This window comes from Homo sapiens, chromosome 1 (genome assembly GCF_000001405.40).
Source record: "Homo sapiens chromosome 1, GRCh38.p14 Primary Assembly".
Classification (NCBI taxonomy): domain Eukaryota; kingdom Metazoa; phylum Chordata; class Mammalia; order Primates; family Hominidae; genus Homo; species Homo sapiens.
In genome coordinates this window covers 145,747,146-145,769,860 of record NC_000001.11, presented here as the reverse complement: position 1 = coordinate 145,769,860, position 22,715 = coordinate 145,747,146, and the positions used below count along the sequence as shown (strand labels likewise).

Here is a 22,715-nt window from a genome sequence, read left to right as displayed (position 1 = left end):
TAATTTTTCAATTTTTGGTAGAGACTAGGTTGCCCAGGCTGGAGTCTCTTAACACATTATTGGAGTTGATTTGTTCCTTATCTTTTTTTTTTTTTTTTTTAAGGATTTTTACATTTATTCAAAAGAGGATGAGTCTCTTTATCAAGTTTTGGTGTCAGGATTATATTAGTTTCATAAAAGGAACTGGGAAAACTTGCTGTATTCTTATGCTTGGAAATAGTTTACATAACACAGGAATTACCTATTATTTAAAGGTTTAATGCAAGTTACCTGTAATTCCATCTGGACCTGGTATCTTTTTGGGAACTAGATCTATTACAGTCTTTTCAGTTACTTCTGTGGTTGATAGTATAGGGTAGTGTTTTATTTATCTCTGTATTCTCAGCTTCTAGTGCAGTATCGGTTTTATAGTGGCTACTAAACATGTTTGTTTTGAATAAGTGGATAATTGTAATTATGTCTCTAAAAAGTATAAAAAACATATGAATTAATAGTAATAATAGCTAAGAGTATGTGCCAGAAACTAGTCTAAATGCTTTACAGGTATTCATTTGTTTAATCCTCACTATAACCATGTGAAGAAGGTATTGTGAATATCTCCATTTTACTGGAGAAACTGAGGCACAGAGAGTTTAGGTAAATTGTCTAAGAGTATAAAGGCAGTTAAATATTGGAGCCAGGATAGTGCAATAATCAAAGTATTTGTATTTGGTGAGATTTTTAACTGTTTACTTATACTAAAAAATTTTAGTATAACTATTTAGTATAAGTCAAAAATTTAAAATTAAGTAGCCTTCTCACTTATTTTTTAACCAAAGATTTAAGCATTTCCCTAATTTTCTCAGAAACTTTCCTTCCAAGGCACCAGTATATCAGTAAATAGAACTTGAAAGTTTTTAATTCAGTTTCTTTTCTCTTTTCTTTCATAGAAGTATAAATAAACACAGTATATCTTTGGGGCCTATTACTATACCCAGCTAGCAGGCCTGCCTAGATTGTTCCATATGGTTGTTACTTTACAGTAATTGTCATTATGATGTCACTGTATGTTTTGAAAGTACAATTTCATGTTTTATACATTTTTAAAAATTGATTGAATTTTAGCATGGCTTCTTCCTGATAACAGTTTTGTCCTCTTGCTTTGAGAAGGAGCATATGGGCATTCCACTTATGGTTTCCATGGGCTGCATCTCAGATTCCTGTTCATTCTACGGGTTTCACTGTAGACAGAGTACTTTGTATTTAATGGCCGGGTGCGGTGGCTCACACCTGTAATCAGCACTTTGGGAGGCCGAGGCAGGTGGATCACTTGAGGTCAGGAGTTCCAGATCAGCCTGGCCAACATGATGAAATCCCATCTCTACTAAAAATCCAAAAATTAACCAGGCATGGTGGCGGTTGCCTGTTATCGCAGCTACTCAGGAAGCTGAGGCAGGAGAATCACTTGAACCTGGGAGGTGGAGGTTGCAGTGAGCCGAGATTGCGCCACTGTACTCCAGCCTGGGCGACAGAGCAAGACCTCATTTCAAGAAAAAGAGTACTTTGGCTGGCGCCAACAGGGTCCAGGTCTGTGCCTGCCATTGGAGAGGATGCCACAGCCACAGGGGTGGGCGCTGGCCTGGAGGCCTCCAAGGGGCATCTCCTGTGAGCCCAGGGGATGGGCAGGATCTGAGCGGAGAAGAGTGAAAGTGGAGGAGTGAGGCCAGAACAAAGGCTTTGCCGTGAAAGAGGTGGTTTCCCGCCTAGGCTCTGACCTTCACTCACTGTGTGGCCCAGGCCAAGGGCAAGCGTCTGACCTCGCTGGGCCTTTGTTTCTCAGGGGTAAGATGAAACAATGGCTCCCTCTCCCTCTCCCTCTCCCTCTCCCCACGGTCTCCCTCTCCCTCTCTTGCCATGGTCTCTCTCTGTCTCTGATGCCGAGCCGAAGCTGGACTGTGCTGCTGCCATCTCGGCTCACTGCAACCTCCCTGCCTGATTCTCCTGCCTCAGCCTGCCGAGTGCCTGCGATTGCGGGCGCGCGCCGCCACGCCTGACTGGTTTTCGTATTTTTATGGTGGAGACGGGGTTTCGCTGTGTTGGCCGGGCTGGTCTCCAGCTGCTAACCGCGAGTGATCCGCCAGCCTCGGCCTCCCGAGGTGCCGGGATGGCAGACGGAGTTGCGTTCACTCAGTGCTCAATGGTGCCCAGGCTGGAGTGCAGTGGCGTGATCTCGGCTCGCTACAACCTCCACCTCCCAGCTGCCTGCCTTGGCCCCCCAAAGTGCCGAGATTGCAGCCTCTGCCCGGCCACCACCCCTTCTGGGAAGTGAGGAGCGTCTCTGCCTGGCCGCCCATCGTCTGGGATGTGAGGAGCCTCTCTGCCTGGCTGCCCAGTCTGGAAAGTGAGGAGCGTCTCTGCCCGGCCGCCATCCCATCTAGGAAGTGAGGAGCGTCTCTGCCCGGCCGCCCATCATCTGAGATGTGGGGAGCGCCTCTGCCCTGCCACCCCGTCTGGGATGTGAGGAGCGTCTCTGCCCGGCCGCCCCGTCTGAGAAGTGAGGAGACCCTCTGCCTGGCAACTGCCCTGTCTGAGAAGTGAGAAGCTCCTCCGCCGGGCAGCCACACCGTCTGAGAAGTGAGGAGCCCCTCCGCCCGGCAGCCACCCCGTCTGGGAAGTGAGGAGCGTCTCCGCCCGGCAGCCACCCCGTCCGGGAGGTGAGGAGCCCCTCCGCCCGGCAGCCGCCCCGTCTGAGAAGTGAGGAGCCCCTCTGCCGGGCCAGCCGCCCCGTCCGGGAAGGAGGTGGGGGGGTCAGCCCCCTGCCCTGCCAGCCGCCCCGTCCGGGAGGTGAGGGGCGCCTCTGCCCGGCCACCCCTACTGGGAAGTGAGGAGCCCCTCTGCCCGGCCAGCCACCCCGACCGGGAGGGAGGTGGGGGGGTCAGGTCAGCCCCCCGCCCGGCCAGCCGCCCCGTCCGGGAGGTGAGGGGCGCCTCTGCCTGGCCGCCCCTACTGGGAAGTGAGGAGCCCCTCTGCCCGGACAGCCGCCCCGTCCGGGAGGGAGGTGGGGGGGTCAGCCCCCCCCCCCCCCCCCCCCCGGCCAGCCGCCCTGTCCGGGAGGTGAGGGGCGCCTCTGCCCGGCCGCCCCTACTGGGAAGTGAGGAGCCCCTCTGCCCGGACAGCCGCCCCGTCCGGGAGGGAGGTGGGGGGGTCAGCCCCCCGCCCGGCCAGCCGCCCCATCCGGGAGGGAGGTGGGGGGGTCAGCCCCCCGCCCGGCCAGCCGCCCCGTCCGGGAGGTGAGGGGCGCCTCTGCCCGGCCGCCCCTACTGGGAAGTGAGGAGCCCCTCTGCCCGGCCACCACCCCGTCTGGGAGGTGTACTCAACAGCTCATTGGGAACAGGCCATGATGACAATGGCGGTTTTGTGGAATAGAAAGCGGGGAAAGGTGAGGAAAAGATTGAGAAATCAGATGGTTGCCGTGTCTGTGTAGAAAGAGGTAGACATGGGAGACTTTTCATTTTGTTCTGTACTAAGAAAAATTCTTCTGCCTTAGGATCCTGTTGATCTGTGACCTTACCCCCAACCCTGTGCTCTCTGAAACATGTGCTGTGTCCACTCAGGGTTAAATGGATTAAGGGCGGTGCAAGATGTGCTTTGTTAAACAGATGCTTGAAGGCAGCATGCTTGTTAAGAGTCATCGCCACTCCCTAATTTCAAGTACCCAGGGACACAAACACTGCGGAAGGCCGCAGGGTCCTCTGCCTAGGAAAACCAGAGACCTTTGTTCACTTATCTGCTGACCTTCCCTCCACTATTGTCCTATGACCCTGCCAAATCTCCCTCTGCGAGAAACACCCAAGAATGATCAATTAAAAAAAAAAAAAAGAAAAAGAGTACTTTGTATTTGTATTTAAGAAATCAGATGTCAGAGATTAGCCTTTGTGGGATTATTAGTGTGTTCCTCACACCAACTTAATAAGTTTCCCTGAAATGAGGTCCATTTTCTTTGACTTTTTCATTGGCATGAGTAAAACTTTTTTACTAACACAGAGACAGGGAACTCTCACATTGTTCATTCATTCTGCAAATATTTATTCAGTGTCCCTAAAGTATGTGCTTTATCCTCTAATCTGCAGCTTTTGAATGATAGTTAATTAGGTCTTGAATAGACTAGCTCATCTTATCTGACTTTAAGTGCATCTGACCTGTGCCAGCAGATTAATTTATAAATTTATAACTGAGGGTATTCTGTTTCAGTGACTATAAAACTCATTTGTTTGTTAGCATACTCTTGTCTTTGAATTTCTCAAGTATCAAGAAATCAAAAGCAATCAGATGGTTGTTTAGTACATATAGAATCAGCAAGGAAATTGCATGATCTTTAAGAGAAATTCCATCCAGATTGTGATAAATGCTAAGGAATTACTCATATTTCACTTCAAATAATTTTTTTTTAATTTTTTTTTTTTTTATTGATCATTCTTGGGTGTTTCTCGCAGAGGGGGATTTGGCAGGGTCATAGGACAATAGTGGAGGGAAGGTCAGCAGATAAGCAAGTGAACAAAGGTCTCTGGTTTTCCTAGGCAGAGGGCCCTGCGGCCTTCCACAGTGTTTGTGTCCCTGGGTACTTGAGATTAGGGAGTGGTGATGACTCTTAACAAGCATGCTGCCTTCAAGCATCTGTTTAACAAAGCACATCTTGCACCGCCCTTAATCCATTTAACCCTGAGTGGACACAGCACATGTTTCAGAGAGCACAGGGTTGGGGGTAAGGTCATAGATCAACAGCATCCCAAGGCAGAAGAATTTTTCTTAGTACAGAACAAAATGAAGTCTCCCATGTCTACTTCTTTCTACACAGACACAACAACAATCCGATTTCTCTATCCCTTCCCCACCTTTCCCCCTTCTCTGTTCCACAAAACCGCCATCGTCATCATGGCCCGTTCTCAATGAGCTGTTGGGTACACCTCCTAGACGGGGTGGTGGCCGGGCAGAGGGGCTCATCACTTCCCAGAAGGGGCGGCCGGGCAGAGGCACCCCCCACCTCCCGGACGGGGCGGCTGGCCGGGCGGAGGCACCCCCCATCTCCCTCCCGGATGGGGCGGCTGGCTGGGCGGGGGCTGGCCCCCACCTCCCTCCTGGATGGGGCAGCTGGCCGGGCGGGGGCTGACCCCCCACCTCCCTCCCGGACCGAGTGGCTGCTGGGCAGAGACGCTCCTCACTTCCCAGACGGGGCGGCTGCCGGGTGGAGGGGCTCCTCACTTCCCAGACGGGGCGGCTGCCGGGCGGAGGGGATCCTCACTTCTCAGACGGGGCGGCTGCCGGGCGGAGGGGCTCCTCACTTCTCAGACGGGGCGGCTGCCGGGCGGAGGGGCTCCTCACCTCCCAGACGGGGTCGCGGCCGGGCAGAGGCGCTCCTCACATCCCAGACAGGGCGGTGGGGCCGAGGCGCTCCCCACATCTCAGACGATGGGCGGCCGGCAGAGACGCTCCTCACTTCCTAGATGGGATGGCGGCCGGGCAGAGACGCTCCTCACTTCCCAGACGGGGTGTCGGCCAGGCAGAGGCTGCAATCTCAGCACTTTAGGAGGCCAAGGCAGGCGGCTGGGAGGTGGAGGTTGTAGCGAGCCGAGATCAAGCCACTGCACTCCAGCCTGGGCAACATTGAGCACTGAGTGAACAAGACTCCGTCTGCAATCCCGGCACCTCGGGAGGCCGAGGCTGGCGGATCACTCGCGGTTAGGAGCTGGAGACCAGCCCGGCCAACACAGCGAAACCCAGTCTCCACCAAAAAAATACGAAAACCAGTCAGGCGTGGTGGCGCGCGCCTGCAATAGCAGGCACTTGGCAGGCTGAGGCAGGAGAATCAGGCAGGGAGGTTGCAGTGAGCCGAGATGGCAGCAGTACAGTCCAGCTTCGGCTCGGCATCAGAGGGAGACCATGGCAAGAGAGGGAGAGGGAGACCATGGGGAGAGGGAGAGGGGGAGGGGGAGGGGGAGGGCCAAATAATTTTTTAAGACGGTAAAATATTAATGCTTGTTAGGTTTTTTCCTTTGTGTTAGGTCAACACCAGCACATTCATGTTTTCCAGACAAGTAATAGAGATTACCACCCATTAGTCTGCACTTACTACATTAAAACCCATCTTTATTTTATTTTGTTGTTTTTGTTTTGTTTTGTTTTTTTGAGAGGGAGTCTCACTCTGTCACCCAGGCTGCAGTGCAGTGGTGTGATCTCGGCTCACTGCAACCTCTGCTTCCCAGGTTCAAGCAATTCTCCTGCCTCAGCCTCCCAAGTAGCTGGGACTACAGGCATGAGCCACCATGCCTGGAAAATTTTTTGTATTTTTAGTAGAGATGGGGTTTTGCCATGTTGGCCAGGCTGGTCTCGAACTCCTGATCTCAAGTGATCTGCCTGCTTTGGCCTCCCAAGGTGTTGGGATTACAGGCGTGAGCCACTGCGCCCAGCCCCATTTTTATTTTATTGTGCTTTACTCTTTTGTTTTTTTGTTACACTTTAGCTTGGTAGTTTAGTCTCCTTCCTGGTTATATAAAGGAAGCCTCTTTGATTTTAGCAGTAAGCTGTTTCTGATTCGCTGTGTAGGGTACATTACTTCTAAGAAGGTGTCCCACCTAAATAATACGTTCTTTTAAAAATTTATTATTTTTATTTTAGATTCGGGGGTACGTGTACAGGTTTGGTTTTTATTTTTTAATTTTTAAAAATTTGCTTTCCTGGTAACTCACAAAACAGCAGGTTTATTACACGGGTATATTGTGTGATGCTGGGGTTTGGGCTTCTAATGATCCCATGGCCTAAGCAGTGAACATAGTACCTATAGGTAGTTTCTCAACCTTTGCCCTTCTCCCTCCCTCTCCCTTTTGTGATCTCCAGTGTTTATTATTCCTTACTTTGTGTCCTTGTGTACCCAATGTTTAGTTCCCATGTATAAGTGAGAACATGTGGTATTTCTGTTTTCTGTGTTAAGTTGCTTAGGCTAATGACCTCCAGCTATATTCATGTTGCTGCAAAGGACATGATTTCGTTCTTTTTTATGGCTATGTAAAGAATATGTTTTAAGATTTCCCACCTAGAGAATATGTTCTTCTGAAATTAACCCTAGGTTCTTGGACCATAGATTTCTGACCACTGATCACATCTCAGATTTTGAGAACTGACTTTTTTTGGTTAACTTTTTTTTTTCTTATTAAAAAAAATTTGTTTTGGTATGGAATAAAAAGACAGCCTTATCCAGAAATAGCCATAGTTACACCTTGATGTATAATCTTGTAGACCTTTTTAAATACATATATATGATAATTACATCTATATAATTGAAATTGAATTGATTATACTACACATATTTTATAATCTTTTTTATCTTAATAGATTGTATATATCTTTCAAGATACATTTGATTGGGGCCTGTATTAGTCTGTTTTCACACTACTGATAAAGACATACCTGAGACTGGGAAGAAAAAGAGGTTTAATTGGATTTAATAGTTCCACATGGCTGAGAAGGCCTCAGAATCATGGTGGGAGGCTAAGGCACTTCTAACATGGCAGCAGCCAAACCATGTCATTCTGCCCCTGGCCCCTCCAAATCTCATGTCTTCACATTTCAAAACCAGTCATGCATTCCCAGCAGTCCCCCAAAGTCTTAATTCATTTAGGCATTAACCCAAAAGTCTGAAGTCCAAAGTCTCATCTGAGATAAGGCAAGTCCCTTCTGCCTGTGAGCCTGTAAAATCAAAAGCAAGCTAGTTACTTCCTAGATACAATGGAGGTACAGGTATTTCGTAAATACGGCCATTCCAAATGGGAGAAATTGGCCAGATCAAAGGGGTTACAGGTCCCATGCATGTCCAAAATCCAGCAGGACAGTCAAATTTTGAAGCTCCAAAATCATCTCCTTTGAGTCCAAGTCTCACATCCAGGTCATGCTGATGCAAAAGGTGGGTTCCCGTGGTCTTGGGCAGCTCCACCCCTGTAGCTTTGCGGGGTCCAACCTCCCTCCCGGCTGCTTTCACTGGCTGGTGTTGAGTGTCTGTGGCTTTTCCAGGCGCATTGGTGCAAGCTGTCAGTGGATCTACCATTCTGGGATCTGGAAGATGGTGGCCCACTTCTCACAGATCCGCTAGGCAGTTCCCCAGTAGGGACTCTGTGTGGGGGCTCCCACCCCACATTTTCCTTCCGCACCGCCCTAGCAGAGGTTCTCCATGAGGGCTCCGCCCCTGCAGCAAACTTTTGCCTGGGCATCCGGGTGTTTCCATACATCTTCTGAAATCTAGGCGGAGGTTCCCAAACCTCAGTTCTTGTCTTCAGTGCACTCGCAGGCTCAGCACCACATGGACGCTGCCAAGGCTTTGGGCTTGCACTCTCTGAAGCCACAACCCAAGCTCTATGTTGGCCCCTTTCAGCCATGGCTGGAGCAACTGGGACACAGGGCACCAAGTCCCTAGGCTGCACACAGCACGGGGACCCTGGGCCCAGCCCACAAAACCACTTTTTCCTCTTGGGTCTCTGGGCCTGTGATGGGAGGGGCTGCTGTGAAGGTCTCTAACAGGGCCTGGAGACATTTTGCCTGTGGTCTTGGGGATTAACATTAGGCTCCTTGCTACTTATGCAAATTTCTGCAGCTGGCTTGAATTTCCCCTCAAAAAATGGGTTTTTCTTTTTTGTCACATAGGCTACAAATTTTCCAAATTTTTATGCTCTGCTTCCCTTATAAAACTGGTTAACAGCACCCAAGTTACCTCCTGAATGCTTTGCTGCTTAGAAGTTTCTTCCACCAGATATTCTGAATCATCTCTCTCAAGTTCAAAGTTCCACAAATCTGTAGGGCAGGGGCAAAATGCTGCCAGTCTCTTTGTTAAAACATAACAAGAGTCTTCTTTGCTCCAGTTCCCAACAAGTTTCTTATCTCCATCTGAGACCACCTCAGCCTGGACCTTATTGTCCATATCACTATTAGCATTTTGGGCAAAGCCATTGAACAAGTCTCTAGGAAGTTCCAAATTTTCCCACATTTTCTTGTCTTCTTCTGAGCCCTTCAAACTGTTCCAACTTCTGCCTGTTCCTTAGTTCCAAAGTCAATTCCACATTTTTGGTATCTCTTCAGCAATGCCCCACTCCTGGCACCAATTTACTATATTAGTCCATTTTCACGCTGCTGATAAAGACATACCCAAGACTGGGAAGAAAAAGAGCTTTAATTGGACTTACAGTTCCACATGGCTGGGGAGGCCTCTTAATCATGGTGGGAGGTGAAAGGCACTTCTTACATGGCGGCGGCAAGAGAAATGAGGAAGAAGCAAAAGCAGAAACCCCTGATAAACCCATCAGATCTCATGAGACTTACTGTCATGAGAATAGCATGGGAAAGATCGGCCTCCATGATTCAATTACCTCCCCCAGGGTCCCTCTCACAGCATGTGGGAATTCTGGGAGATACAATTCAAGCTGAGATTTGGGTGGAGACACAGCCAAACCATATCAGAGCCCATCTAGGGGAGGTTTCTTAATTAATTTTTTCCTGGGCTCAAGTGATCTTCCCATCTCAGCTTCCTAAGCATCTAGGACCACAGGTGTGCAGCACTAGGCCCAGCTAATTTTTAAATTTTTTTTGTAGAGATGGGGTCTCCTTATGTTGTCCAGGCTAGTCTTGTATTCCTGTCTTGGCCTCCCAATGTGCTGGGATTACAGGTGTGAGCCACTCTGCCTGGCCCCATAAGAGGTCTCTTAATTTATTCAGCAGACATTGTGTATTACTGTGTGCCAGATGTTGGGCATACAGTAGTCAATAAATAGTCAAGAATGACTGCCCTCGTGGAGCTTAAGTACTAATGGAGAAAGATAGATGATCAAAATAAATAGAATTTTAAGCAGTAGTAAGTGCTATGGTGGAAGAAAAGCAGGGATGGGAGATAGGGAATATGGTTGAAGTGAAGTTTCAAAAAGAGCATAGTCAGCAAATGTCTTATTGAGAAAGTATCTGAATAGACACCAAGGAAGTGTAGGGATGGACAAACAAGGAGAGACCAATGTAGGGCAGAGAAGGTGAGGGGAATGGTAGGAGAAGTTGATGGGAGTGGGAATGGGGAGGTGGGTATTAGATTATATGAAGCCTAGTTGGCAATTATAAGAGCTTCTGTTCCAATGGAGAGTTAGGTGTCATTTATATCTTGAAATGATTGCTCTAACTGCTGTGCTGAAAATAGAATGGGGGGCTGCGAGGTGTGCGAGGCAAAGACACAGCAGAGAAACCATTTAAGAGGCTATTGCATTAATATAAGCTAGAGATGCCAGTGGTTTGGGTGAGAGCAGTGAAAAATGGTTTGGTTTCAGATGCAGTTTGGCAATATTCATGATAGGAGTTACTGACAGATTGGATGTGGGGTGTAACAGAAAGAAGAGTTATGACACCAAGGTTTTTGGCCTGAAAACAAGAAGAATGGAGCCACCATCCACTGACATGGGGAACATTAGGAGGAGTAAGTTTGGAGGAAAATATTTAAGAGTTCATTCAGTTTGGGACATAATAAGTTTGAGGTGCTTATTATACAAGTGGAAATGTTGAATAGGCAGAGGTCTTGGCTGGAGATAATATTTGGAAGTTGTGGCCTATATATGATATTTAAAATTATAAAGCTGGATAAAGTGGTCAAAGAAGTCAAGATAGGAAATAGCAGAGCTCAGAGAATTGAGGCCTGGGCCCTCGATGGTTAGAAGTTTGGAAGATAAGGAAGAATAAGCAAAGGAGACTGAGAAGAAACAGCCAGGGAAGTACAAGGAAAACCTAGAGAGGCTACAGCTCTGGAAACTATGTGAAGACTCTTACCTGGTTTTAGCATGTGACTTCCCTTCCAGACCCAGTGGGTTGATTTTTCTCGTCTGTGAGTTTCTAAAATTAAATGTATACACTATCTTCCTTCCCTCCACATCTTCCCCAGACATTTAGCTTTAACAAGAAAAGATTTTTTTTTAATAAACAAAATTCATTGTAAATACTCTGTCAACTATTGTTCTCTGAGCAACAGCTCTTATGCATTGGGGCCACCCTCAGCAGTCTCTGTTACTGCTACAAAAACATGGGACTAACATCTGACTTCCAGAGAGTAAGTAGCCAAGAAAGAGAAATCATCAGCTGATCAGCTGCTGGTGAGTTGTCCCTCGTAATTCCAAGCATTCATATAGGATTGACTTTTACAGCTTCAAGAACTAGGCTATCTCTCAAACTTGATTATTACCATTTACTTATTGGTCAGTGTAAGCATAAGATAATTTGCCCTTCTTGTCACTGACAAATAGGTGGGTATATATTAGTTACCTATTGCTGTGTAACACTTTACCCCAGAATTTAACAGCTTATGACAATATTTATTATCTCAATATTTTTGAGGGTCAGGAATTTGGGAGCAATTTAGCTAGATGGTTCTGGTGAAGGGCTTCATGAGGTTATAATCAACATGTCAGCTGTGGCTACAGTCAACCGAACACTTAACTGGACCTGGAACATCCACTTCCAAGATGGCTCACTCACATGACTGTTGGCAGGAGGCCTTAGTTCCTCACCATCTGGGCCTCTCCATAGGGCTCCTTGAATGTCCATATTACTTGGCAGCTAGCTTCTCTTGGAGTTAGTGATCCAAGAGAATGATAGAGGAAGCAGGAAAAAAACCCATAATATCTTTTTATATCCTAATTTTGGAAGTCACACACTGTCATTCCTGCTACATTTTGTCTGTAAGAGGTGAATCACTAAATCTAGCCTACATTCAAGGAGAAGAGAATTAGCTCCACCTCTAGAGAATTTATGGATGTATTTTAAAATCACCACAGTTTGCCCTCTAGCCACAAATTATTTACACTTCTTCTATGTGCAAAATGCACTCACTTCCTCCCAAAATCTATCAAAAAAGTCTCCTTCTTCTATAGCATCAGCTTGAAATATAGGTAGCTGTCCTTTTAACTAGGTCCAAGTGTGGGTGTGGCTCCTTGGGTATAGTTCCTCAGGTATAGTTCCTTTTGTTGTGAAGACCTGTAAACTAAAGAGACAGGTTAACTACCTATCACACACCCAACATACAGTGATATGGACAGGCAGTGATTCTGAACAGGTATAGAGATTTCCTGTTCCAAAAGGGAAAATGATGGCACAAAGAAGTTGCTGGTTCACAGCAATTCTGATAGTTGTCTAGACAAATGTCAGAAGTTCCTTGACTAGGACTTCTACTTCTGCCCAGGAGTTCTTCTCTGTGACTCTGGAATCCACCCTGTTAGTCATCCTTTCTTTTCCATTAAAAGTAGTTCATATTTGTAGCTGCATAGCTTTCTTAGCTTGCTTCTTGCCAGTAGAAATTTCAGGGCCCAGAGACCGGTTTTCATTTTGTACTATTTTTCCACCTTTCAGTTTAAGCTGGCAGTGTTTCTTTTTAAAACTTCGAGTATCCTGTGAATCTCACTGGGATTCATGCCATTAGGCAAAAGCCACATCCACCAATCTCTTCTAAATAGGCTTTTTCCACCTTGGGTTTCTGCTGGGATTGCTGAGAGATACCACTTGTAATGGGTAGAATTGTGTCCCCCAAAAAGCTGTGTTCAAGTCCTAACCCTGATAAGGTCACCGTGAATATGACCTTATTTGGAAATAGGGTCATTACAGATGTAGTCAAGTTATAGTAAGATCACACTGGATCAGGAAGGGCCCTAATCCAACGGTTGATAGTCTTATAAGGAGAGAAATTTGGCTGGGTGCGGTGGCTTACTCCTGTAATCTCAGCACTTTGGGAGGCCAAGGTGGGAGGATCACCTGAGGTCAGAAGTTCGAGACCAGCCTGGCCAATGTGGTAAAACCCCGTGTCTACTAAAAATACAAAAATTAGCCAGGCGTGGTGGCCCATGCCTGTAATCCCAGCTACTCAGGAGGCCGAGGCGTGAGAATTGCTTAAACCTGGAGGCAGAGGTTGCAGTGAGCTGAGATCGCACCACTGCACTCTGGCCTGGGCGAGAGTGAGACTCTGCCTCAAAAAAAAAAAAAAAAAAAAAAAAAGAAGCTAGAAATTTGGACATGAACACAGAAGACAGAAGAAAGCCATGTGATGACAGAGGCAGAGGTTGTGGGGGGCATACATCTACAAATCAAGGAATGGCAAAGATTGCTGTCAAACATCACCAGAAGCCAGAGAGAATCATGGAATTGATCTCCCTCAGAACTTCCTGAAGGAACTAACCCTACTGACACCCACATCAGTGAACGAATAAATTCCTTTTGTTTTAAGCTACCCAGTTTGTGGTAGTTTGTTATAGCAGCCCTAGGAAACTAACATAACACCCTTAAGCTTCTTAGTCCGATTTTCTAATTGAATGATTCTTTAGGTACCATTCTAGATCTTTGTGAGGTTGTGTTTTTTTTGTTTTTTTTTTGAGACAGTCTCACTCTGTCACCCAGGCTGGAGTGCAGTGGTGCAATCTCGGCTCAGTGCAACGTCCGTGTCCTGGGTTCAAGTGATTCTCATGTTTCAGCCTCCCGAGCAGCTGGCATTACAGGTGTGTGCCACCATGCCCGGCTAATTTTTGTATTTTTAGTAGAGACAGGTTTCTCCATGTTGGCCAGGCTGGTCTCAAATTCCTGGCCTCAAGTGATCCTCCTGCCTTGACCTCCCAAAGTGCTGGGATTATAGGCGTGAGCTACCGTGCCTGGCCCTTTCTGAGGTCTTAACAAAGAAGTGTTATAGTCTGATCCTTGGCTTCATCTGAAATCAGTCTTTTGGCAGTGCCTTGGATTCGATCTTTGCTTGAAATCTCTTAATTTTAGTGTCATTTACTAATCTGGAGATGCTGGGAATTCTCAGAATTATATAATTCTGTCCTTTTTGTTTAACTGTTCTTCCTTTAATTCATCCCTCTTTTGCATTTTAAAGTAAGCAGCAAGAAGCCAGGAGGTACTTTCAAAAGTGAAATCACTTTAGCTAGATTATCAACCAGTTTTTGGACCACAACATCTACTTTCCATGTTATGGTAAGGCCACAGCTTTGCCATTATATAACAAGGATCCTTTTCCCTCCAGTTTCTAATCAGATTTTTTCTGCCTTTTCTTAATCTCTCACCTTTAACTTCCTCAAAGGCCATAGTGCTTCTGTTTTTTTTTAAGGCTCTTCAAACTTCACTGATGCTCTCCTCAAAGTCCTTTTAACTTCTGCCCCACTGCTGGGTTCCAAAGATACTCTCAAGTTTTGGGTCTTTATTGTGGCGGCACCGGTATCCAGATATCGAAATCTGTATATTATCTATTGCCATATAACAAATTATCTCAGAGCTTAGTGGCTTAAAACAACAAATATTTATTATCTCACAGATTCACTGGGTCAGGAACAGGTTCAGTTGGGAGTAGCATGGCTGAGTGGTTCTGGCCCAGGATTTCATGAGCTTATAGTCAAGATGTTGGCCATTGCTGCAGTATAGGATTGACTAGGCTTTACACATATTCTGGCAGGTTTGTTCTGGCTGTTGGCAGTACTCAGTTCCTCATCACATGGACCTTTCTATAGGACTGCTTGATATGGCACTCTCCCAGAGCAAGTGATTGATCCGACAGAAGTACAAGGAGAAAGCACTGCCCCCCGCCCCCCACCTTTTTTTTTTTGAGGCAAAGTCTCTGTCACCCAGGCTGGAGTGTAATGGCACAATCTTGGCTCACTGCAACCTCCTCCTCCTGGGTTCAAGTGATTCTCCTGCCTTATCCTCCTGAGTAGCTGAGACTATAGGCACGTGCCACTAATGCCTGGTTAATTTTTGTATTTTTAGTAGAGATGGGGTCATGTTGGCCAGGCTGGTCTCGAACTCCTGACCTCAAGTGATCCACCCACCTCAGCCTCCCAAAGTTCTGGGATTATAGGCAAGAGCCACCACACCCGGCCATTTCCCCCACTTTTTTTTACCTTGTCTTGGAAGTCACAGATTATCAATTCTGCCATATTCTATTGTTAAGTGAGTCACTAAGTCCAGCCCACACTGAAGGGAAGATTATCAAATAATTTTTGGACATATTTTTAAAACAACACGAAGCATTCTAAAAAAAAGAAAACACAATGAATTCATAGAAGCAGAGAATAGAATGGTAGTTACTAGGAGCTGTGGGGCAGAGGGGGTGGATTAGAGAGATGTTGAAGGATACAAAATTTTAGTTAAAAGTTCAAGAGATCTGTTGTACAACGTGGGTGACAGTAGTTAATAACAATGTTTTCAGCCAGGTGGGGTGGCTCATGCCTATAATCCCAGCACTTTGGGAGGCCAAGGCGGGCGGATTACTTGACAGCCCGGCCAACATGGTGAAACCCCATCTCTACTAAAAATACAAAAATTAGCCAGGCGTGGTGGTGTGCATCTGTAATCCCAGCTACTTGGGAGGCTGAAGCACAAGAATTGCTTGAACCTGGGATATGGAGGTTGCAGTGAGCTGAGATGGTGCCTCTGCACTCCATCCTAGGTGACAGAGCAAGACTTCATCTCAAAAAAAGAAAAAAAAAAAACAACCAGTGTTTTGTACATCTGAAAATTGCTGAGAGAGTAGATTTTAAGGGTTATTGTTGCAAATAAGTTTGTGAGGTAATGCATATGTTGATAGTTTGATGTAGTCATTCCACAATGCATACATATTTCAAAATATGTTATATACCATAATATATGCAATTTTTGTCAGTTAAAAATAAATAATGAAAAATAATACAAAAAAGCAAGCAAACAAACGGAATAGTGTAGTTAGCTGCTGTTGAACTTTAGTAGCAGGGAAAGTCTAATGTTGGCTATTGCCATTGTTATATTAATTGGCCTAATAAGTAAAGTGGGAACCAGGGACTTAAAATTGCATATCATTGCTGGGCGTGGTGGCTCACACCTGTAATCCCAGCACTTTGGGAGGCTGAGGTCAGGAGGTCAAGATCAGCTTTGTCAACATGGTGAAACCCCATCTCTACTAAATCTACTAAGTATACAAAAAATTAGCCGGGTGTGGTGGCAGGTGCCTATAATCCCAGCTACTCGGGAGGCTAAGGCAGGAGAATTGCCTGAACCTGGGAGGCAGAGGTTGCAGTGAGCCGAGATCGCTCCACTGCACTCCAGCCTGGGCGGCAGAGCGAGACTCTGTCTCAAAAAAGAAAAAAAATTGCATATCATCCAGAACACAGAAGATCCAGTGAAACAATTTCTTCAGGTTTTTCTTTTGCTGAGGCATCACTCCAGTATCTCTTTGGGTAACAAAGACTCATTCGTGTAAAGAACTGTGTACCTGTGCCATCTTAAGTATTCAGAGTGACAAATGCTAAGCATGTGTGTGTTTATATGTGTTTGTGTTATAATCATCTGAAACAACCTTAACATAGAATTATTGCTTAAACTTTTTTTTAAAGGACTCTTTAAATGATATCTTATTCAGAAACCCAATGTGTACAACATACAAAAATGGAACTACCCTTGTTAAAGGGAGGTGGGTCCAGAGTTCCACTGGCTCGGCATCCCTTTTAACCCTTCCTTATGTTGATGTCAGATATTCAGGGAACATAGTTTGAAAAACTATACCATACCATCAGATCCCTTTCCAGCTTAATTCACAAAAATCTATTAATCTGTAAGATAGCAGAGCTCAGGAAGATAGCCATAATAGCAAAATAGCACACCGCTGTGTGGCAGGCTGATTTCTGATGCTGTCTCTTGTGTACTAGCCAATGAAAAGCCATTTTGGTTTAGGGAATTAGTTGGTGATTAGGCAGCCATGGATATCTGTAGAGTACTTTTCATTAGTCTGTTGTCTTATCTAATTTTTTCTTCTGTAACAGAATACTACAACACATCTTTGCAGGATTCTTTGCAAATTCTGCCATTCCTGGATCTCCACACCCTTTTTCCTGGTAAGTAACTAATTGTTTTCTATCTTACTCTATTGGAGTGACATATTTTAGGTGCTGTCATTTCTGTGCAGTAGAGAAAAAGAGCTGCATAGGCCGGGTGCGGTGGCTCATGCCTCTAATCCCAGCACTTTGGGAGGCCGAGGCTGGCGGATCACGAGGTCAGGAGATCGAGGCCATCCTGGCTAACATGGTGAAACCCCGTCTCTACTAAAAATATAAAAAATTAGCCAGGCGTGGTGGCATGCTTCTGTAGTCCCAGCTACTCGGAGGCTGAGGCAGGAGAATCACTTGAACCCGGGAGGTGGAGGTTGCAGTGAGCCGAGATCGCGCCACTGTACTCCAGCTTGGGCGACAGAAAGAGACCCTGTCTCAAAAAAAAAAAAAAAAAAAAAGAGCTGCATAGGTGAGTATGTAGATGTAACTGGAGGCTGCTACACTGCCATTATCTGCTAAGCCCAAACTTAATCAGAACTTTTTTTTTTATTATTATTCAGGCTCAGGAAGGCCGTCCTGGTCCCCCAGGATGTTTGGGTGCTAGAAATGTCTTGATTCCTTTTATATTCAGGTCTGAGAGTTGTATTGAGGTAGAGAATGAGATGGTCCCTGCCAGGCTTGGTATCTGATTTGTGGGTTTCCCCAGTAGACTACACAGGAATATTTTACTCCTTAAGAATTTCTGAAATTGAAAACATTATGCTGAACTTCATTTTTTTCAAAGTAAGAGGATTTGTCAGAAGAAACAATAGGCTGTAATTCAGTATCAGAGTGACACTTATGTATGATGGGATTAAAGATGGAATTTCTTCTTGTCTGAGAAATTATTTGCTGCTTCTAACTGTGGCCCAGAAGGTTTCTTTGCTCAAAGGAACCTCAGTCCTTTTAGGACCTCTGTCATCCAGTAGTCTGGACCTCTGCTGGTAGTGTACCAGCAGCTCTGAGGGAAAATAAAAAAAAACGGTGTTGCCAAGTCCCTTTTATAATTGCTCTAAGTTGTGATTCAGAGAGACTGCTATGGCTGCTTCTCTACTTGAAAGCTCCTCATTGTCCAGAACTGTGGGCGGCCTCTTATAATGAGGGATGTTTGCTGTAGATTTTGACCAGTCATGAAGGGAAAACTCTCCTTAAAAAGCAGCTCCATCTGTGTTTAATATCAGTGGGCACAGAAAACACAAATTTTTGAAACCAACAGGCAATGAGTCACTCTTTTTGTTCTGGCGTGTCATGTGGTACTTTAGGTAGCTTCACATTTTATGTTCTAGTTAAGTAAAATTCTTAGAGAATGAGGTACTATCTCTGGATAGTCTGTTTGATCTTGAAAATGTACAGAATTCTTTGCCTCTTGATCCTGGAGGACTAGTGACTTTCCAGCTCTGAGAGAGAACAGGATCCCTCTGCCAATTTTTTTCTGTGGTGTAAGGCAGAGCCTGGTCACTCCATCTAATGCTGTCTATCTCATCTCACGTATAGGAGCGGGATGCTGCACTCCAACCCTGGGGACTATGCCTGGGGTCAGACAGGGCTTGATGCCATTGTAACCCAGGTGAGGAGCTGCCTTTTGAGGGTGTCTGTTCAGTGTGTCTCATGGTTCCACAGGCTTCCTGCTTTCCTTCTGCTACTTTCTGAAATGGCAGTCACTCTGCTTTCTCTAATATTTTGAGCTTTGGGGTTTCCATTTTACTAAAGGGATGAATGATTTATGGGGTTAGCTCAGCATCCATGCACTTCCTAGGTCTGAGGGAATTTCTAGAAGATGGTTTCACCTCCATAGGAAGAAAAGACTTCTATAACAAATAGTATTTTGTATTTTTGTCTCTCTTGCTCAGTTCTATAAGGATTCTATTAACAAATATTTCACAAAAAAAGGAGGGTTTCCTCACATGTTGAAGCAGGGATTTCTGCTAGATGGAGCAAAGTAGGGGAAGGAAGCAGAGAAAAAAGTATTCCCATGCCATGTATAATTGCTTCCACTTGTTTATGTTCATTTTAATTTGATTGGTTTTTCATTTCCGTTGTGGATTTCTGAGACTAGAAAGCATGTCCTTTATATTCAGTCGTCTTATAGGCAGTAATTTACCTATTTCTTGGCTCACGTTATGCTACTTTTCATACTCTCGCTTTTTTCTTCTTCCAGAAGATGAAGCTTTTGGACCAGTTACATTTTACTTTTTATTAAGCTATAGTTTTACTCGTGACACCACAACCCTTTTGCTGCCTCTGAAGTTGCTTTATGCCTAGAGGTGGGCCTTGCAATCATGGGTTTGTCTGTAGGCTTATACGAACGTCACTCTGAAATTGTAAAGCAATTATGAGTGTTCTGGCAGCAGGAAAGGGGAAACCCAAGCCTCTCAGAGCCTTGCAGAAGTAAGAGTAACTAACATACCTAATGTCTGCACTGTTTGTTCTCAGCTGGAGCAGTTCCCTCTCCAGGGATATTGCGATGTCTGCCACTTCGTCTTTTTCTTTCTCTTTTTTTGTAGCTTTTAGGACAACTGGAAAACACAGGCCCTCCCCCAGCTGACAAGGAAAAGATCACATCTCTTCCAACAGTGACAGTAACTCAGGAACAAGTTGGTAGGTTCATTTTTATACTTATTCTGTCATCTTCTGATCTCGGTTCAAAATCCCGGTATCTTCTGACAGGTGAAAAGTTTAAAAAGTGAACAAAATAAAAAGACAAAAAAATAAGAAAAAAAATCCCAATACCTTCCTATATTAAGGACCTTTAAGTGAAGCTATAGCCCTCTAAAATTCCTATCTGGGTGCCAAATCTGGAAAGTTCCTACCCCTTTATTAGGTTAGTCAGTTGGTATTTCCTGAGCAATTATGTCTCTTTTTTAGGTGCCATTGGGAATAAAGAGGTACAAAGATAGATAAGAATTGATTGTAACAAGTTGAAGAAAAACTGATCAAATGATTAAAAACTGTGTTGGACACATGATACTGACATTGGGGAAAGGAGAAGAAAAAAATAGGCTGGGAGTTTGTTTCAAATCTACTTTGTGTCAGGTACAGTTAGGTATCTTAGTCATAGATACTATTTTATTTGTAAGCACTGGAGGAATTTAGTGACAAGGGACAGCATTTTGGTCTGGGAGTTTCTGTTCCCATCAGTTCGGGTTTAGAGTTAGAGATTTTAAAGACAAGGTGGGCTATCTTAGGTCATTCTATTTAAGGAAAAGTATGAACTAATATACGTGGTGTGTGAGTCAGGTAAAGTGGTCTTTAGGGAAGATTAGTCTAGGGGCAGTGTGTGAAACATTGGAAGTGAGAGAGAGCAGAAACAGGGATTTTAGAGTGTTGCAGCAGTCCAGATGAGGTTCAGTTGATGGTGACAATGCTAACAGAAAGGAAAGGATTCAGAAGATCATTTTGGAGAAATGCTTTCCTCACTCATTGCATAATGGGATGAAGAAGGGGAAAGAGTCAAAGAGAATTCTGAGATTTCACAGCTTTGTAACTATAAACATGGTGCTGCCATCTTAAGGGACAGGGAAATAGTGAATGGACCCTGGTTTGGGTAAGGAGATGAGGTGATGTTTTACATTTTTTAATTTGTTGATTTTTGAGGTGCCAGCTGAGAATCCAAGTGAAGAGGAGCTGGGGATTGCTGTGGAGCTGGTTTGAGGGAAAACTAAGTTGTAGCAAAGTATAGGATATATTTGGAGGGTTAAGACCGTGGAATTTGGGATACTAGCTGGGAGGCTGTTGCAGCAGACTAGGCATGAGAAGTAAAAGAATTAGGGCTAAGGTGATAGGAATGGAGAGTAAGGAGTGAATCTATTAAGTAGTAGTACTGCTCCAAATGCCTTATCTGCTGTTAGTTCATGGAGCATATCCCAGCCACTAGGCGTATAGACTAGCTGACAGTATTAGCCAAATTTGGGAAACTCAAAACTTGCTGCTTGGAGCTCCCAGTATAGTTCATGACTGTTTCTTCTCAGAGAAGAGGGCTTTCTGTCTCTTGATTTGGTGACCTGAGCTAGACTTCGACTTTGCAGTTCTGCAGCACCACTTCTGGTATAGCTTTTCTGGTATGGCTTCTGGTATTTTCTTCTTTTCTGGTATAGCTTTTATTAATAATTTTTTTTTTTTTTGAGACAGAGTCTTGCTCTGTCATCCAGGCTGGAGTGCAGTGGCGCAATCTTGGCTCTCTGCAACCTCCGCCTCCCGGGTTCAAGCAATTCTCTGCCTCAGCCTCCTGAGTAGGTGGGTTTACAGGCGCTCACCATCACACCCAGCTAATCTTTGTATTTTTAGTAGAGACAGGGTTTTTACCATCTTGGCCAGGCTGGTCTTGAACTCCTGACCTCGTGATCCACCCGCCTTCACCCTCATTAACAGTTTTTACAGAGGACTTTAGGACAGCCACACTGAAATAGGATGCTTCATCCCATGCTGAAAAGAGCATGGTGAAAGTGGCAAGTGGCTTGAGACGCTGCACTGATAAGATTGCTGAGATGAATCCCTTGGCTATGGTGGACAGATTCACAGTAGCAACTGACTGCCAGAGGGCTGTCACACATTGGGAAGATGTTTTTCCTGTTTTACTGAGCAGATCATCTAAGCCCCAGTTTATTTCTTCCAACTCTTTACATCAAAAAATAGGCCTTATATAGTTCCTATATAGGCCTTTTTGGAGTAGGCCCCATTCATCATTCCTTCTTTTCATGTCTCTGTCTACTACCACCTTTACCCTCATTTTGAAATACAAGTCATGCCTCTTAGCTGCCTGCTACTTGGGTGTACATTTTCTTTTGTCTCTTGTGTCTTTTCTTTATGCATTCGTAGGGTTGGTAGAGACATTGGGTTAGTTTTTTCTTCTTTCCTTTTGCCTGTTTACTTTAAAAGGCATTTCCTTCTTCAACAGATATGGGTTTAGAGTGTCCAGTATGCAAAGAAGATTACACAGTTGAAGAGGAAGTCCGGCAGTTACCTTGCAATCACTTCTTTCACAGCAGTTGTATTGTGCCGTGGCTAGAACTGGTGAGTACAGCAAGTCATGGCTTCTTTGGGGGATGATTCAGAGTAAAGGTATAGTTAACAGTTCCTCGAGATCCAAGTAGATCAGATTTTATCCCATAAATCCCTGGCTTACTCTGATACTGTTATTTGTTTGGAACTTTTCTGACCAAGGGTTGCAAACTATGTTCTACAGGTCATTGTGTCCTGCCACCTGTTATTGTAAATAAAATTTTATTGGAACACAGCTATGTTCATTTGGTTATAGATTGTGGCTACTTTTGTGCTACGTCAGCAGAGTTGATTAGTTGTAACAGCTGTGGTGTGGCCTGCAAAGCCTAAAATACTTATTTTCTGTCCCTTATGTATTTGTTTTGAGACAGAGTCTCACTCTGTCACCCAGACTGGAGTGCAGTGGCGTGATCTCAGCTCACTGAAACCTCTACCTCCTGGTTTCAAGTGATTCTTGTGTCTCAGTCTCCAGAGTAGCTAGGATTACAGGCGTGCACCACCATGCCCAGCCAATTTTTGTGTTTTTAGTAGAGACAGGGTTTCGCCATGCTGATCTCAAACTCCTGACCTCAGGTGATCCACCTGCCTCGGCCTCCCAAAGTATTGGGATCACAGGTGTGAGCCACTGCACTCGGCCAATTTTCCTGTCCCTTTAAACAAAAAGTTTGCTGACCTCTGCTCTAGACCATATTGGGAAGTAATGGGCAGTTACCCTCCTGTCATAGATCACTCACTGTTTCTGGTTCGTTCTGTTTGGTGGTATGTATTAGCTGTTATTAACTTGCTGGCCTAGAATTATTCCTGTCAGTTCTGCTTAAAGTTCTGTTTGGGAGATATCCTGGTATCACACCTTAGAGCCAG

The 22,715-nt window shown here is 45.1% G+C and overlaps 1 protein-coding gene across 6 annotated transcripts in view; it reads left to right on the top strand.

The window, feature by feature from the left end:
- The window catches only part of RNF115 (ring finger protein 115), an 85,228-nt gene that overhangs the window by 54,235 nt on the left and 8,278 nt on the right, over positions 1 to 22,715 (top strand). For 5 of the 6 annotated variants that reach the window (XM_047418027.1, NM_014455.4, XM_047418024.1 and 2 more), the window contains 4 exons: positions 16,812 to 16,883; positions 18,351 to 18,423; positions 19,361 to 19,454; positions 21,751 to 21,866. In XM_047418027.1, the coding sequence (XP_047273983.1) occupies positions 16,812 to 16,883; positions 18,351 to 18,423; positions 19,361 to 19,454; positions 21,751 to 21,866 (355 nt within the window). Of the gene's footprint in view, positions 1 to 16,811; positions 16,884 to 18,350; positions 18,424 to 19,360; positions 19,455 to 21,750; positions 21,867 to 22,715 lie in introns of those variants that run through there. The other variant, XM_047418028.1, reaches the window with a different exon arrangement.